The following is a 17,929-nucleotide window of genomic DNA, read 5'->3' as shown; positions in this document are numbered from 1 at the left end:
GAGAAAAATAGCATTTTAAAAATATTACCCCACAGTGGTTTACGTGTAAAGTTCCTTCAAAATTTTCCTTCTGAAATTTTCCTGTTTTTTTTTAAAGACTAAATATATCTTTCTTGCTGAGCTATAAGCTATAAAACAATTTTAGTATTCTCCCAGGCCTCCACCATTACTAACAATATTAATTCCTTGCATATAGCATTAGACCAGGGTTCTCATCCCTGGCTTGCACACCCAGAGCCTGGCCTGCACACCTAGAGCCTGGACCCAAAGTAAGTAAACCTGAATTGGGCTCACCTGAGCCTGTCTTTTTTCTCAACTTTAAAAGCTTCACAGGTGACTGTGATGTAGAGCCAGAGCTGAGGTTCAGCATTAGAAGAACTGGGGAGAATGTTGCAGGGAACAGTGCTAGAGTACTCAACCAACCTTCTATGCTAGTTGATGGGTCCATCCCAGAGATTTTCCGTGAATGAGCAAGTAGCAGAGCAAAACCTAAATTGAACCCTGTCAAGGAATCACGAACACCTTTGTAGTTTAAAATATACTTGTTAAAGGATGTTTTAAATTAATTGTTCACTTCATTCCAATTTGTCTTTTGACTCCCTTAGTACTTTTCTTCCTTGCATTTCATGTAAATCCAATGCTGTGTGAGTAAAGAGAAGAGAGGAGAAAGAAGAAAATGTGCTGAAGCAGGTATTTTTAGAGTGGGTTTTCAGAATATTTTGGAGTTAGCATTAATTCATTTCAAAGGAGCAGAAAAATATTCAGAGGTAGCATGAGGTTAGTATGAAAAATGTTGGCAGGACCTCTGATTCTGTTGCTGACTCTCCAGGATTTGGAACAGGCATGTTTCCTTCATGTGGAATTGGAATTAATTGGACAATTAATTCAAAATGCCTTCATGAAAAGAACAAAAACAAATAAAATTGCCCTTCATGTCTGATTGCCTCAACAGAACAACAAAAAAGTGATGGAACTGGATGCTCTCCCAGTCTTACATTTCTATGTAAATGTGAAAGAGAAACATGGCTACAAGGACCAGGTATGGCCTAGGAAATGGGAGAATCTACCTTTTAGAAGGGGTTCTTAACATAGGGTCTTTGGAAGGTTTCAAGGTGTCAATGAACCTTCTGAAATCACATATAAAATGGTGTGTGCACCTTTTTTTCTAGGGTTATGGTCCATGGCTTTCATCAGATTCTCAAACCATTGGAAAGGATTAAAAACTGCCTTTTTTTTTTTTTAAGGAGTCTGGGGGGTAGGGTGGACGGTATAAAAATTATTCAAGTTAGGAATATTAAAAAGAGAGCCTGTTAATTTAGTCAAATATTAGGGGGGATCACATTGATTCTTGGAGCTGGAGAGAAGGCAGAAAATCACATCATTTGAAGCCACGAATTGTCAGGAAAGAGATGGGCAAGAAATTACAGGCTGAAATTCAGGTGAAGGAGCAGGTAGTTGGTAATTGTTGAAGCTGTGTGATGAGTGCACAGGGATTCATTATATCATTCTCTTTACTTTTGTTTAGGTTTGAAATTTTTCACTATAAAAAGTTTTTGAAAATAAGGAGCCCCAGAGAGAATTCCTAGAAGATGGCAGAGGAGGAAAAAGAGGAACCTATCTTCCCACCTAGATAATAATTTTACCAGTAGAATCTGTCTAATGTAAGTATTTTGGAACTGTGGAGTCTGTTGAAGGCTTATAACTTCCAGGGCTTGAGCAATAATTGTGGTTAATTTTCATCAATTTCAGCTGTAATCACAGTAGCAGCTAACCACCCTTCAGCCACATGTCAGGCAGCTGTGCACATGCTCCTGGAGCAACCTGTACACAGCCTGTGGGAGCTAGGGTAGCTGAAAAGGACCCTGGCCTCCAAATATTTAGGATCTATGCTCTCATTGCTGATTGCTGCTTCTCATCACAAAGGTGCAAAGAAGCAGCAGGTTTTGTTGTTGCACTTTACCCCATTGTTGCGAGTCCCTCCATCTCTGGATGAAATGACTCTCAGGGAATATAAAGGGCAAACACCTTTTTCCCTTCCTACATTTTCCCCCTTTTAGGAACTAGATATTGAAGACTAGAGCATTAAAAATGAACCACATGTATGTGATTGGAGTTGGAAAATCATCATGTATACCCAGGGAAAGGCAAAGGCTCAAAAAATATATGAAAGGATCTTAACTTTATACTTCTGGCTGATCCACACCACAAAGACAGCCTACAACAACAACAACAAAAACAGAAAACCAGCAAACCAGCTGGGTGAGGTGGCTCACACCTGTAATCCCTGCACTTTGGGAGGCTGAGGCAGGCAGATCACCTGAGGTCGGGAGTTTAAGACCAGCCTGACCAACACGGAGAAACCCCGTCTCTACTAAAAATACAAAATTATTCAGGTGTGGTGGCACATGCCTGTAATCCCAGCTACCTGGGAGGCTGAGGCAGGAGAATCACTTGAACCTGGGAGGCAGAGGTTGTGGTGAGCCGAGATCGTGCCATTGAACTCCAGCCTGGGCAACAGGAGCAAAACTCTGTCTCAAAAAAAAAAAAAAAAAAAAGAAAAGAAAAGAAAACCAGCAAACCAAAAGAAAGGACACTGATTTTCAGAGTTACCACATTATTAGATTCAAATATCCAATTTCCAACAAAAAATTCACAAGGCATGCAAAGAAACGGAAATGTATGGCTTGGTTAAAGGGGGAAAAAAAATAACAAGAAATTGTCCCTAAAAGAGACCTAAAAATGGTTGTAATAGACAAGGACTTTCAAACAACTGTCTTAAAGATGCTAAAAGAACTAAAGGAGGATGTGGTGAAAGTCAATAAAACAATATGTGAAGAAAATGTAAATATCAATAAAGAAATAGAAAACCTAAAAAGAAAGCAAAAATAAATTCTGGAGCTGAAGATTACAGTAGTCGAAGTGAAAATTTTAAGAAATTCAAAGGCAAATTTGAGCAAGCAGAAGAATCAGCAAACTTGATAGGACAATGAAAATTATCAAGTCTGAGGAACAGAAAAAAGACTGGAGGAACGTGAACAGAGCCTAAGGGACCTGTAGGGTACCATCAAGCAGATCAACATATGCCTTGAGGGAATTCCAGAAGGTGAACAGAGAGAGAAAGGGGAAGAGAGAATATTTGAAGAAATGATGATCAAAAACTCCCTAAGTATTTGGAAAATTCACAAATTTCTGGAAATTAACCAACACACTCTTAAATAACAAATTAATAAAAGAAATCATAATGGAAATTACAATGTACCTAGAGACAAATGAAAATGAACACACATGATACCCAAACTTATGGAACACAGAGAAAGTAATGCAAAGGGGAATATTTATAATAAATTCAAAATTTACATTAAATAGCTTACATTAAAAAAACAATAAATGTCTTAAATCAACAACCTAAACTTAAAACTTAAGAAACTAGAAAAAGTAAAAGAAACTAAACCCAAAGCTAGTAGGAGGAATAAAATAATAAAGATTAGAGCAGAGATAAATGAAATAGAGAATAGAAGAAGAATAGAGGAAAATAATAGAAGAATAATAGAGAAATCTGAAGATGGTTCTTCCAAAAGATCAACAAAATTGACAAGCCTTTAGCTAAATGGACTAAAGAAAAAGAAGACTCAAATTATTAAAATCAGAAATTAAAGTGGGGACATTATTACCAAATCTACAGAAATAAAAAGGATTTTAAGAGAGCAATTGTACTTCAACAAATTGGATAACCTAGATGAAATAGACAAATTTCTAAAAACACACAACCTATCAAGACTAAGCCACAAAGAAATAGAAAATCTGAATAAACCTGTAGCTAACAAGAAAGTTGAATCTCTTATAAAAGACAGTGATTTAAAATATCCCATGAAATAAAATCCCTGCACAGTGGCATGCAACTGTAGTCTCACCTACTCAGGAAGCTGCAGTGACAGGATCGTTTGAGCCCAGGAGTTCAAGACCAGCCTGGGCAACATAAGAAACCCCATCTCTTAAAAGAAAAGAAAAGCCCTGGATCTGATGGTTTTACCAGTGAATTATACCAAACATTTAAAGAACTAACACCAATCCTTCTCAAACTTTTCCAAAAAAATTGAAGAGATTACACCCTAACCCAGTCTATTAGGCCAGCATTACCCTGATACCAAAGCCAGACAAAGACTCTACAAGAAAAGAAAACTAATAGACCAATATCCCTTATGAACATTGATGCAAAAATATTCTGAACAAAATATGAGTAAACTAAGTGCAACAGCATATTTAAAAGATTATACGCTATGGCTAAGTGAGGTTTATTCCTGGAATGCAAGGATGATTCAATCTATGAAAACTGATCAATGTAATACACCACATTAACAGAATGAAGGGAGAAAGCCACATGATCATCCCAAGTGGTGCAGAAAAAGCATTTGACAAAATTCAACATCCTTTCATGGTAAAAATGCTCAGTAAACTCTGAATAGAAGGAAACTAACTCAACATAACAAAAGCTGTCTGTGAATAACCCACAGCAAACATCATACTTAATGGTGAAAGACTGAAAGCTTTTTCTCTAAGATCAGAAACAAGAAAAAAATTTCCACTTTCACCGTATAGCATTGGAAATGCTAGACATAGCAATGAGACAAGAAAAAGAAATGAAAGGCATCTAAAATGGAAAAAAAGAAGTAAAATATCCCTGTTTGCAGATGACATGATCTCATATGTAGAAAACCCTGAAGATTCCACACACAAAAAAGTTACAATTAATAAATTCAGCAAAATAGCAGGATACAAAGTCAACACACAAAAATCAGTCGCATTTATATACACAAACAATAAACAATCTGAAAAAACTTAAGAAAACAATTCCATTTATAATAGCATCAAAAATAATAAAGTACCTAGGAATTAACTTTACCAAGGATGTAAAAAATCTATGTACTGTAAAGTACAAAATATATCTGAGAGAAATTAAAGAAGACATAAATAAATGGAGAGCTATTTCATGTTCACGGATTGGAAGACTTAATATTGTTAAGATTTCAACACTACCCAAAGTGATCTACAGATTTAGTGTGGTTCCTATCAAACAAGTAGGTTTTTTTTTTGCAAAAATAGGAAAACAAATCTTAATATTCATATGAAATTTCAAGGAACTCTAAATAGTCAAAATAATCCTAAAAGAGAAGAACAAAGCTGGAGGACTCACACTTACTGATTTAAAAATTTATAATAGGTAATAGTAATTAAGACAGTGTGGTAGTGGCATAAAGACCACACATAAAGACCAATGAATACAATAGAGAATCCAGAAATAAATCTTCAAATATATGGTCAAATGATTTTTGGTAAGGGAACCATGATTATTCAATAAGAAAAGGACAGTCTTTTCAACAAATGGTGCTGAGAAAACTAGATATTTACATGCAAAATAATGAACTTTTACCTTTACCTAATACCATACGCATAATTTAGCTCAAAGTAGATCCATGGCCTAAATGTAAGCCCTAAAACTATAAAACTCTTAGAAGAAAACATAAGGCAAAAACTTCACGACATGGGATTAGGCAGTGATTTTGTGTGATGACACCAAAGGCACAGGCAACAAAAGAAAAAAACAGACAAATTGGACTTCATGAAAATTTAAAAATTTTATATCAAAAGACACTATCAACAGAATAGAAAGACAGCCTACAGAATTTGAGAATATATTTACACGTCATATATCTGATAAGGGATTAGTATCCAGAATATATGGAGAACTCCTAAAACTCAACAACAAAAATACAAACAGCTCAATTCAAAAATGGGTGAAGGACTTGAATAGATATTTGATACTTCTCCAAGAAGATATACAAATGGCCAATCAGCACATGCAAAGATGCTCAGCCTTACTAATCATTATGGAAATGCAAGTCAAAACTATAGTGAGAGCCACCTGGACACCCTTAGGATGGCTACTATCAAAGCAATAGAAAATAAAATGTGTTTGCAGGGTATGTGGAGAAAATAGAATCTTTGTGCCTGTTTGGGGGATATAGAATGGTATAACCACTGTGGAAAGCAGTATGGTGGTTTCTCAAAAAATTAAAAATAGATTTACCATATGATCCAGCAGTGCCATACTCAGAAGAATTAAAAGCAAAGTATCAAAGATATTTGTATGCTCGTGTTCATACAGCATTACTTACAATAGCTAAAACATTGAAGCAACCCAAGAGGCCATTGACAGATGAATGAAAAAGCAAAATGTGATATATACTTACAATAGAATATTGTTCAGCCTTAAGGCTGGGCACAGTGGCCACGCCTGTAATCCCAGCACTTTGGGAAGCCGAGGCAGGTGGATCACCTGAGGTCAGGAGTTCAAGATCAGCCTGACCAACGTGGTGAAACCCTGTCTCTACTAAAAATAAAAAAATTAGCTGGGCTTGGTGGCTGACGCCTGTAGTCCCAGCTACTCAGGAGGCTGAGGCCCAAGAATCACTTGAACTCGGGAGGCAGAGGTTGCAGTGAGCCCCAAGATGATGCCACTGCACCCCAGCCTGGGCAACAGAGTGAGACTCGGTCTCAAAAAAGAAAAAAAAAAAAAGAAAAAGAATATTATTCAGCCTTAAAAAGGAAGAAAATTCAGGCCAGGCATGGTGCCTCACATCTGTAATCCCAGCCCTATGGGAGGCCAAGTCAGGCAGATCACTTGAGGTCAGGAGTTCAAGACCAGCCTGGCCAACATAGTGAAATCCCATCTCTACCAAAAATACAAAAATTAGCCAGGCGTGGTGACAAGCACCAGTAATCCCAGCTCCTCAGGAGGCTGAGGCAGGAGAACCGCTTGAACCTGGGAGGCAGACGTTGCACTGAACCGAGATCATACCACTGCACTCCAGCCTGGGCAACAGAATGAGACCCTGCCACAAGAAAAAAAAAATGAAGAAGAAGAAGAAAGAAAATTCTGAGGCATGCTACAACATGGATGAACCTTGAGGACATTAGGCTAAGTGAAATAAGCCAGTCACAAAACAACAAATACTATATGATCCCACTTTTATGAAGTACTTAAAGTAGTCAAAATCATAGAGACAGAAAGTAGAATGATGGTTGCCAGGGGTAGCAGGAAGGGAGCAATGAGTTGTTGTTTAACGGGCATAGAGTTTCAATTTTGCAAGATGAAAAGAGATCTGGAGATGGATGCTGGTGATGTTTGCACAACCATATGAATATACTGAATGCCACTCAGCTGTGCACTTAAAAATGATTAAGATAGTAAATTTTGTTACATATATTTTACCATAATAAACTTTGGGTAAAAAATTAAAATGAAAAGAACCAAAGTGAGATAGCAGAGGACCCTGTGAGCTGTTGAGCCTGTGTGAACAGAGACTAGTGGCCCTCATGGCATGTGGCTGAATGAGTGGTTGGTAACGATCTCCTGCTTTCTACTATCTGTTTCCTTTTCTTCCTCAGTTTTTTTCTTAATCTGCTTCCTTGAGAAAACAATCCTGCTTCTTTGAGATACAAAATTCCAAGTTTGATGTGGTGATTATGGGGAAAAAAAGAACGTAAGGTCACAATGAGAAGATGGGACACTATGGAAGGCCCTTTAATTTTCTAATAGTCACATAGACTTTAAAAAATAGTCTCTGGGGTCTGGTAACTTGGTAATGTCATTGAGTTATTATAAAAGAGTAAGCAATTTTATAATATATTTGTTTAGGGATATAATTTTGTATAATTTCCCTTGTTCACTTATTTTTCAGTATAAATCAGCCTTGATGATATGATCATTTCTATTTTTTTCTAAAATTAGAATAATAATAATACCTGTTTTATTAATGGTGATATAAAATCTAGGAGAAAAACATGAATGAATACTCACAAGTATTTACTACTTGTGAGTAGTAGAAAACATGTGAATACTAACAAGCTACCATAGTCTTGTTCCTGAATTTCCATAAGAGAGACCTTCCAAATGTATGAATTTTTATGTCTATATCTTAAGCCAAGAATATCCTTCTTCACTATACCCACCCTACACCTAATCAGGAAATTTTCAAAGTCTTTCAACATATTTCATATTCACAAATTGCTTATGTTGGATCATCACCCTTGTCCTTCACTTCTTGGGCACCAGAGGGCATACATCTTAAATCTCACTTTCTCAGAGACACAAATCCTTTTTCCCTCCACTGCAGGATTTTCTCCTCTGGATTTGCTCTGGCACCTCGAAGAAGCTTAGGGGAACAGTTCAGCTTTGCTCTTCCTGATAATTAGTGGCTTTCCTGATGGTGTGGTTCAACACACCCACCAGAGACGGAAGGTAATGATTACTCAGGAGACCTGCTTCCTTTATCAATCTGCACAATCAAAAGAATTGTCCTTGAAAATAGTCTTTGTAGACCATTAGTTCATAATCTTTTTTGTTTGTTTGTTTGTTTTGCTAACTTTTCATTGTTTTTAGGCTGAAGATAGCCTAAAATTGTATTCATTACTTTAGCCTTCGAAGCTTATAAAGTGAGATAATAGAAGTGAAACTGCTTTCGAACGGGAAAGAAGCACCATATAATTGCAAAGTAGAATTACCTTTAGGAGAAATGTTAACCAGACAAGGCCAGTCTGTCACCCACTGGGGAGTCGCACAATCTCAGCTCGCTGCAGCCTCAACCTCCCCAGCTCAAGCAATCCTCCCACGTCAGCCCCCAGATAGCTGGGACTACAGGCATGTGCCACCTAAGTTTTTTATTTTTTATAGAGACAGGGTTCACCCTATGTTGCCCAGTCTGGTCTCGAACTCTGGGCTCAAGTAACCCGCCCACCTCAGCTTCCCAAAGTGCAAGGATTAGAGGTATGAGCTGCTATGCTTGGCCCATAATTTTTGATTCTTGTGACTGTATGCCCACATTTTTTTTCTTATGATTTCTCTGTAGATCTGTCCTTATAAAAATTTTTATTTTCTAAACTTGTTAATTCTTCTGGACATATCCTAAACTACACATTTAGAGCCACCCAAGTAGCCATCCATCCACTTATGAAATAATATGAGTATTAAGAAATCTAGAAATTAAATTTAAAAAATAAAATATGACTTTTTGTTTGTTTACTATTAAAAAACAGGTCTCAACAATCAATAAGTAAATGATTCTAAGAGAAAATGTTAAAATATAATTTTTTTTTCCCTAATACCAGATAAGAATATTTTTATTTTCCTTTGGGCCATCCCTCAATCACAGTATATTCAGAGTAGTTTTCAAATTTTGTAGGATTGTTTTTATCTTTCTGTGGCTTTGACAAGTATCAAGTATGGGTAGATTTAGTTGAAAAGGTAAGTAGGCCACAGAGCATCAGAACAATTTCTTTATTTTATTTTATTATTTTTTTTTGAGATGGAGTCTCCCTTTGTCACCCAGGCTGTAGTGCAGTGGTGTGATCTCGGCTCACTGCACCCTCTGCCTTCCAGGTTCCAGCAATTCTCCTGCCCAGCCTTCTGAGTAGCTGGGATTACAGCTGTGTGCCACCATGCCTGGCTAATTTTTGAATTTTTAGTAGAGACAGGGTTTTACCATGTTGGCCAGGCTGGTCACAAACTCCTGCCCTCAAGTGATCCACCCATCTCGGCCTCCCAAAGTGCTGGGATTACAGGCATGAGCCACCACGCCAGGCGCAGAACAATTTCTGAATTCAAAACAAATAGCCCTGAATAGTAAATTCTCTCTTCACTGAATAGAGAATTCATGTTCAATGTTTTGTCAATGTTTTCATTGTAGGCAAACCTGAGACCAATTTTCTTAGGAAGACAATGCCATAAATGTTGATGAGGCTCCCTAGTTAACCCCCACCCCAAACCAAACCAAACAAGACTTTTTATCCAGTTAAATATGTTGTAGTCCCCTCTGAGATCCCCATCACTCTTTGCTATTCATATTTTTACTATTTTTGTGATTAGCATAAGTATTAGAAAGAGAAATTAATATCTGCAGAGCACTTTATCCACATGTACTAAGTTGTACTTATATCCCAACTCTATGTGAGGTATATGTATGAAGTACTGTTGTTCTGGGATCTTTGGGATTGGGATGTCGCTTTTCTGGCCGGAAATCTCTTTGGCTGGTGGTGCCTTTGCCCAAGTTTTCTCAGGCCCTCTGGGCTTGTTCCGCCCACTCGGCCTGGCAGGCTGTGCTCAGCTCATGCTACTGGCCCTTGATCACACCTCTAAGGGAGACTGAGTCAGGTGTGGAGCGGCAAGGGATGTGTAAGCAAGCGTGGGATCCGGCCACTGCGCACAAATACGCCGGCTGCTGCCAGGGGGCAGGCAGTTCCGAGTGCTGGCACGGGTGCCAGCGCTCTGTGAGGCTATGCTGGACCAGGCACACTGCAAGCAACTTCCCCAGCTGGCACCGGAAAATGCAGTGACGCCCAGAAGCTTGACACCCAGAAGCTTGGAGATGCCTGCAACTGCAGGCCCCCAAAGAGGGAGTCACAGCCCTGGCTTGGGGAGCTCCCAGGTCTGGGCTCCCTGAAGGGCCGCAGGTGTTCTCTCCTCTTCACCCACAACATGGTGGACAAGGGGCATGTTTCAGCCCTGTTTGTGTCACAGCTCTTTTAGCCTTGCCATTTGGTGGGTCCCGAGTTCTTGTTCTTCCACACAGACAAGTAGAGGGTGAGCAAGGCGAAGAGGAGCTTTATTGAGAAACAGAATAGCTCAGAGGAGACCTGCAGTGGGCAGCTTCTTTCCATAGCCAGGGTGTCCCGACGAGTTTTCAGCTGTCAGCAGAGAGGGTAGCTCCTCTCTGCAGCTAGTCCTCCCACCATCTCCTCGGCTCCTCTCTGCAGCTGGTCATCACCTTGTCTCCCTGTCCTCTCTCCATCCTCTCTTCCGAGTCTGACTGACTCTGGGGGTTTTTAATGGGCCTCAGAGGGTAGGAAGTGTGTGCTGATTGGTCCATGGGTGGCCGTGGATGGGCCCAGGGAAAAGCACCACACGTTCCCACTCTGGTCCGTGGGACTGGCAGCCCAGCCCCCAGGCTTCAGGCCCCCCTTGGCTTGAAGGTAGGAGTTTCCTGGGGACCCACCCCATTCTGCCCAGGAGCCTATCTGCTTCCTGCTGCTGTTCATGGTGCCCAGGCTGTTCTTGCCAAGGGGCACCTGCAGGCCAGCGCCAGGCTGTCCTCAGCACCCCCTGGTCTCCCTCCCATGTTCATTAGTTCCCAAAGTCCAGAGAGGGCAGAGATGACAGGGGCCGGGTGTCTCAGCGGTGCCCTGAGCCTGCGCACACCCAGCCAGGCTGCAACAGCGCCCGGGCTTGGCCCCATCCTTGCTCTGAGATCCGAGGGGGCGCTGGGAGCGGGGAGAGGCTAGACACTGGGAGCAGACCCCTCTGAGCCTACCGGGGCAAGGGTGGCCTTCCTGGGCCCCTGAGAGTTCAGAGATGCCTGGTTCTGCAGTCGCAGCTCGGCGTCTGCAGCTGGGTCCAGGAGGGCGGGGCTCCTGCCTGCTCCCAGCCCCTAAGCACAGGGAGGCAGGGGTCCATGTCCACAGCGGTGTCTTGGGTGGCTGCAGCCGCACCCGAAAGGTCCAGGCTGCTGCCTGCTCCCGGCTCCCGCTGGCTTCATGAAGGTGACACCGCCCCAGGCCCAGCTCCGCCTTGGGTTCCCTCTCTGCCCACCCCTTCACGTCCGACCGCACTGCTCTTCTGCCAGCAGGCAACTCGGCCTGGCCCCATCACGGCGGCTGCCAGAGCGGTGGGATCTGGGGGGCTCCCAGGGCAGGCTCCAGAGACTATCATCTCCTCCCCGCAGCCTCCCCGCAGTGGTGGCCAGCAAAAGCAGCGACGTGGGGCCAGGGTCCAGAGCAGCAGAGGCTCTGGGCCTGGGATCAAGTCCCACCCAACTGCACGAGGGTTGGGCAACAAAGTCGAAGTCCGCTGCCTCAGGGATGCGTGCCACAGGGGTCACACCGCTGCCACTGTCACTCCCACAGCCGCTCCCTCCATTACTGCCCATGCCCCTCTGCTGCTGCTATCACTGTGATCCTTATAACTGGCTCAGATAAGTTAAATAAACAGATTTAAAAATTCAAGACGTAGGACGGGCGCTGTGGCTCATGCCTGTAATTCCAGCACTTTGGGAGGTGGAGGCGGGTGGAGCACCTGAGGTCAGGAGTTCGAGACCAGCCTGGCCAACATGGCGAAACTCTGTCTCTACTAAAAATACAAAAATTAGTCGGGCGTGGTGGCGGGTACCTGTAATCCCAGCTACTTGGGAGGCTGAGGCAGGAGAATCGCTTGAACCCAGGAGGCAGAGGTTGCAGTGAGCTGAGATTGTGCCACTGCACTCCAGCCTGGGCAACAGAGCGAGACGCCGTCTCAAAAAAATAAAAACAAAAAAAATAAATAAATTAATAAAATAAAATAAAAATTCAAGATGTACATTATTATGGAAGAGAATTCATGGTTTTATTTTTTTCAGAATTGGCATAGACAATCCTGAATTTCTAACGGTTTATGTGTGAAAATGTTTTTTTAAAGTCAAATATTTTAACTTAATTATATTTTTAAATGAATACTGAGTGCATGGAAAAATATATTCTGGACTTCAGTTCCTCAAACCCCACCTTCACCTGCAAATCATAAGTTTTAGACCCTTTTCTTTTCTGAGTATTACCTTTTCTCTCCACCTACATTCCCTGCTAACCAGGATAGTCACTCTCATACGCAGCAGATGTGAAGCCAAATGTTTGGGAGACAGTGTGGGTGGAGAGAAAAAGTGTAGCCTTGAGCATCAGACACATCTTACCTTACTTAATTTACAGCATGCCCTTGAGCAAATGTTGTAACTGACTGAGTCTCAGTTTCCACTTTTGCGAATGTCATAATAATAATATCTATATCTTGCAGTTATTTTGAGGATTAAATGAGATATCATTTATATTGTCCTGAAGTGTAATTGGTTTCAAAATACTTTCCACCCTTGCTAGTAGTAAAATGAGTAATATTTAGCAATAAATTACTTTGCACTTCAGTTGTGGTTTAGAGTAGTGTGAAAGCTTAGATTGTTACTATTCCATAGGAATTAGCTCCTGGTTTTGGCCTGAGACTGACTAATGTCTAATCCTCAAAATTCCTATTCATAAGGTTCAATAATAAGCAGATGGGTTACACAACCCTAATTTTGCAGGTCGCACTTACTTTTCCTCTTGATATAAGTTTTTGTCAGCAACTAAAAACATCCAGTTTAGTGAAAAAGTGTGATCAATATATAACAACACAGGAATTGTCTAAGAAGAATTCAGGAACAAGAGAATGTTGGGTAAATCGTAGGCTGATCATGAGAGAGCCACAGCTATAGAAAAAATCTGATTTAGAGAAATGATAATTTTTTGTGTTTTCTCTTACCCCTTCCCTCCCTTTAGTTCCCAATAATTTTATTTTATAGCAAAGATACTTAAAATAAAATTTTATTTTATAGCAAGGATAGGGTCTTGCTTTGTTGCCCAGGCTGGAGTACAGTGGCTATTCACAGGTGTGGTCATAGTGTACTACAGCCTCGAACTCCTGGCCTCAATCCTCCCACCTCAGCCTCAAAAGTAGGTTGGACTACAGATACACATTACCAATTTTAAATTTTAAAATGTAAAATTAAAATTTTGCCTTTCTTCACTTTTCTTTCTTTCCATTACTTAAACTTCATTTGACATTTATACAATCAAGAAATACAAACTGAGTCCTTACTACATGTCAGAAACTTGTAGAATACAATAATAAGTGAAACAGCCAGTCTTTGATTTCAAGAAGTTAACATTGGTTGGGAAGGCAGATAACTAGAGGTAAGTAACAATAAATAAAAAAGATGATTTCAGAGAATGCTAAATATTAAGGAAAATAAAGTAAATATGACAGAGAGTAACCAAGGAGCATCTTTAGATTGGGTGGTCAGAGAAGGCTTTCTAAAGAGAGCTTGAGCTAAGACCTGGCTGATAGGTCTGAGCCATTTGAAAATGTGGCAGGAAAATGTGATGCACAGAAGCCAAGAGAAGAAAATGTTTTAAGAAAGAGAGACTGGGCAATTGAATCTGCTGATAAAATAGGTGAGATGAAAACCAGAAGTGATTATTAAAGTTGGCCTTTGGTGACCTGGGCAAAAGCAGGGACAGTGGTGTGATCTGGGTGCAAGTTCAGCTGCTGAGGCTAAGAGAAGAATTCTGCCAAATGGAGAAACTAGTGATCAGGTTGTATATGCCCAGAAGCTGGCTAGATTGTTCTTTATAAAATAAAGTAAGCTCTAGTACCCCTAGTACCTCACAAAACAAATGCATCTACTTGGTTTGTATCACTTCTGACAAGTTGTGTTAATAATAATAGTAGAATTATTTATTATTTTACTACTGATTTCATATACTTTTGACTATTATATCAAGATCCTGAATTTTCCTTTTTTAATTCAACTTAATAATTTTTTAAACTTTTACTTTTGTAGAGACAAGATCTCGCTGTGGTGAGCAGGCTGGTCCTGAACTTCTGGGCTCAAGCCACCTTGGCCTCCCAACCTGCTGGGATTACAGGCACAAGCAACCACATCCAGCCTCCCTTTTTTTTTTTTTTTTTTAGCAAGTGTGTGAAACCCTACGCTTCTGTCTCCTCTTCACCCCTTCCCATCTTCTTTCCTAACTGTGCCCGTAAATGAATATATAATCAATTTGGGTGGAGTTTATCACTGAAAGCTTCCTAAACTGGGGAGTAAATCAGTTTGGCACAGTGGTTATGAGAGCAGATTTTGGCTGTGACCTGGCTTTATATGCTGGCTCTACTCTTTACTACATATGTGAACTTGGACAAGTTACTTAACTTCTTTATGCTTCAATTTCTTCCTTTGTTAAAAGGGGATAACGTGCCAGGTGCAGTGGCTCATGCCTGTAATCCCAGCACGTTGGGAGGCTGAGGTGGGTGGATCACTTGAGGTCAGGAGTTCCAGACCAGCCTGACCAACAGGTGAAACCCCGTCTCTACTAAAATTTCAAAAATTAGCCAGGCCTGGTGGCGTGCACCTATAATCCTAGCTACTCAGGAGGCTGAGGCAGGAGAATCACTTGAACCTGGGAGGCGGAGGTTGTAGTGTGCCAAGATCACGCCACTGCATTCTAGCCTGGGCGACAGAGCGAGACTCAATCTCAAAAAAAAAAAAAAAGGGGGGGGGGGGAGGCGGGGATAATGATAATGTTTTATAAGTGTTTTGTAGGTATCAATTTATCTAATTTCACAATAATCCTATAAGTAGTATAATTAAACTTATTTTACACATGAGAAAACCAAAGAACAGATGTTATCTGCCTTAGATCACAAAACTGGTAAATAGCAAACCAGAATTTGATCCTAGGCAGTGTGATTCACAACCTAGAGCCCTTAACTGCAATGATGTCTCCCTGCCTGTCCTAAAGGGTCATGCTCTGTACTGTGTGGCCTGAAAGCCCTTCTCCAAGTCTTGTTGGACCTGGGTGAACACCTGACCCAAAACGATACAATGCTTATATAGCCCAGCTAGAAAGATGACCTGAACTGGTCAGATTTTTTCACTCTGAGGAATTTGTTCTGAAAACATGGGAATAAACTGCCACATGATGGTGTGAACTACAACTGAGAGGTCCAGTACAGTTGGGGCCTTGATGGCCACTGGGAGTCTTATGTGAGGAGAATCAGCAGAGGGAAGAAGAGAAAAAAAATAGGGCAGATGCACCATGACAAAACTAATTAGAAGGGTTTGTGACCTCTGAGGGAGCAGCCAGCCTCATTCCGTTCCTAAACTTTCTCAGGTCTGGTCTCCTGAAGGCCCAACTGTCCTTAGTTCTTTTCTTTTCTTTTCTTTTTTGAGATAGAGTTTCGCTCTTGTTGCCCAGGCTGGAGTGCAATGGCATGATCTCAGCTCACTGCAACCTCCGCCTGCCAGGTTCAAGCAGTTCTCCCACCTCAGCCTCTCGAGTAGCTGGGATCACAGGCATGTTCCACCACACCCGGCTAATTTTGTATTTTTAGTAGAGACAGGATTTCACCAAGTTGATCAGGCTGGTCTCAAACTCCTAACTTTAGGTGATCCACCCACCTCAGCCTCCCAAAATGCTGGGATTACGGTCGTGAGCCACCGCTCCTGGCCGAGTCCTTAGTTCTTTGAGTGAGTCCACTGTGTATCCTTCCAAAAAAACAACAAACAAAAAATGCAGCTGTTATAATCATAGCAAAGAAAAATTCTTTACTTAACCTAGCATGGATGGTTCTCTGTTCCTTGTAAAATAATAACAGCAACCACAAAACAACCTTATTTAAAAATGGGCAAATAATTTGAACATACATTTCTCTAAAGAAGACATACAAATAGCCAACAAAGTATATAAAAAGATACCCAAAATTACTAATCAACAGGGAGATATTAATACAAATCAAAACCACAATGAGTTAACACGTCACACCAATTAGGATGGTTATTGTTTAAAAAAAAAAAAAAGGCCAGACATGATGGCCCACACCTGTAATCCCAGCACTTTGGGAAGTCGAGGCAGGCAGACTGCTTGAGCCCAGGAATTTGAGGCCAGCCTGGGCAACATGGCAAAGCCCCCTCTCTACAAAAAATACAAAAATTATCCAGGCATGGTGGCACGTGCCCATAGTCCCAGTACTCAGGAGGCTGGGGTGGGAGGATCGCTTGAGCCCGGGAGGCAGAGGTTGCAGTGGGTGGCAGAGCGAGACCGTGTCTCAAGAAAAATAAAATATAAATATAAATATAAATAAAACCAAATAAAAAGATAAGTATTGGTGAGGTTGTGAAGAAACTGGAACACTAGTATGATGTTGGTGAGAATGTAAAATGGTACTACAGCTATGGAAAACAGTATGGAGATTCTTCAACAAATTAAAAATAGAACTACAGTATAATACAGAAATCCTTCTTCTGGGTATATTTCCAAAAGAATTGAAATCAGGATCTCATAAAGATATCTGCACCTTCATGTTCACTGAAGCACTATTCACAATAGTCAAGATATGAAATCAACCTAAGTGTCCATCAACAGACAAATGGATAAACAAAATATAGCATATGCTAGAATATTATTCTGCCTTAAAAAGGAAAAAAGTTCTGACACACACTATAATATGGATGAACCTTGAGGACATATTAAGTGAAGTAAGTCAGTCACAAAAAGACAAATACTGTATGTTCCACTTATATGAGATACCTAGAGTGGTCAAATTCATAGAAAGAGAAAGTAGAATGGTGGCTACCAGAAGCAGGGCAGCAGTGGGGGTTGAGGGGAGATGGGGAGTTGTTTAATGGGCATAGAGTTTCAGTTTTGCAAGATGAAAAGAGATCTGAAGATTGGTTGTACAACGTGAATGTACTTAGTACTACTGAACTGTACACTTCAAAATGGTTAAGATAATAAATGTTATATTAGGTATATTTTACCACAATTAAAAAACCAGCAAGCAAACAAAACCAACCAACCAACAAAACAAACAAAAACCAACAAGAAAAAAAATGTTGTCAGTCATATTTAGACCATAGTGAGTCTGCGTTATTGAGAGAAATAGAGAGTTTGGGGAAAAATGCCTGTTGAGTGAGGAAGACATGAACTCAGTCACTTACATGTCCAGGTACGGTGTTCTATAGTGCACCAAGTAGAAATGTCCAGTCATGAGCTGGGGTACAGGCCTGAGGCTAGGAAGACAAAGCAGTAGCCCTTTACTGCAGGATTGATTAGACGAGAGAGGGCACTGGTTAGGACAAAGGAATCAGGCAGAGGACCATTACCATAATTCTAGTTTAGGAGAACAGTATTGGTATGGCCATACCATACTGTTGGCCATACCAATTGGTATGACCATACCATACTGTTGGCCATACCAATTGGTATGACCAAATTTTCCCCAGAAAGGGGAAGCTGGAGCCTGAGCAGGCGGTAGAGACTA

General features: G+C 40.8%; 1 protein-coding gene across 4 annotated transcripts in view, besides 2 other annotated features; it reads left to right on the top strand.

Moving 5' to 3' along the window:
- Window positions 1–952: 952 nt before the first annotated feature.
- WWTR1 (WW domain containing transcription regulator 1) overlaps window positions 953–17,929 on the top strand; it is a 207,554-nt gene continuing 190,577 nt past the window's right edge. For 3 of the 4 annotated variants that reach the window (NM_001348362.2, XM_047447933.1, XM_047447931.1), the window contains exons 1-3: window positions 953–1,039; window positions 1,526–1,661; window positions 8,175–8,299. The gene's annotated coding sequence lies outside the window, so the exon portion shown is untranslated. Of the gene's footprint in view, window positions 1,040–1,525; window positions 1,662–8,174; window positions 8,300–13,684; window positions 13,801–17,929 lie in introns of all 4 variants that reach the window. The other variant, XM_047447932.1, reaches the window with a different exon arrangement.
- Window positions 11,334–11,833: an enhancer, noted in NCBI's record as "H3K4me1 hESC enhancer chr3:149431695-149432194 (GRCh37/hg19 assembly coordinates)". NCBI's record gives its function as "activates a minimal SCP1, AML or CMV promoter by ChIP-STARR-seq in naive H9 embryonic stem cells {active_cell/tissue: H9 hESC(naive)}" and the evidence as "EXISTENCE:reporter gene assay evidence [ECO:0000049][PMID:30033119]".
- Window positions 11,834–12,335: an enhancer, noted in NCBI's record as "H3K4me1 hESC enhancer chr3:149431193-149431694 (GRCh37/hg19 assembly coordinates)". NCBI's record gives its function as "activates a minimal SCP1, AML or CMV promoter by ChIP-STARR-seq in naive H9 embryonic stem cells {active_cell/tissue: H9 hESC(naive)}" and the evidence as "EXISTENCE:reporter gene assay evidence [ECO:0000049][PMID:30033119]".

The sequence above is a fragment of the Homo sapiens genome, chromosome 3 (assembly GCF_000001405.40).
Source record: "Homo sapiens chromosome 3, GRCh38.p14 Primary Assembly".
Classification (NCBI taxonomy): domain Eukaryota; kingdom Metazoa; phylum Chordata; class Mammalia; order Primates; family Hominidae; genus Homo; species Homo sapiens.
This window is presented reverse-complemented; position numbering and strand designations above follow the sequence as displayed.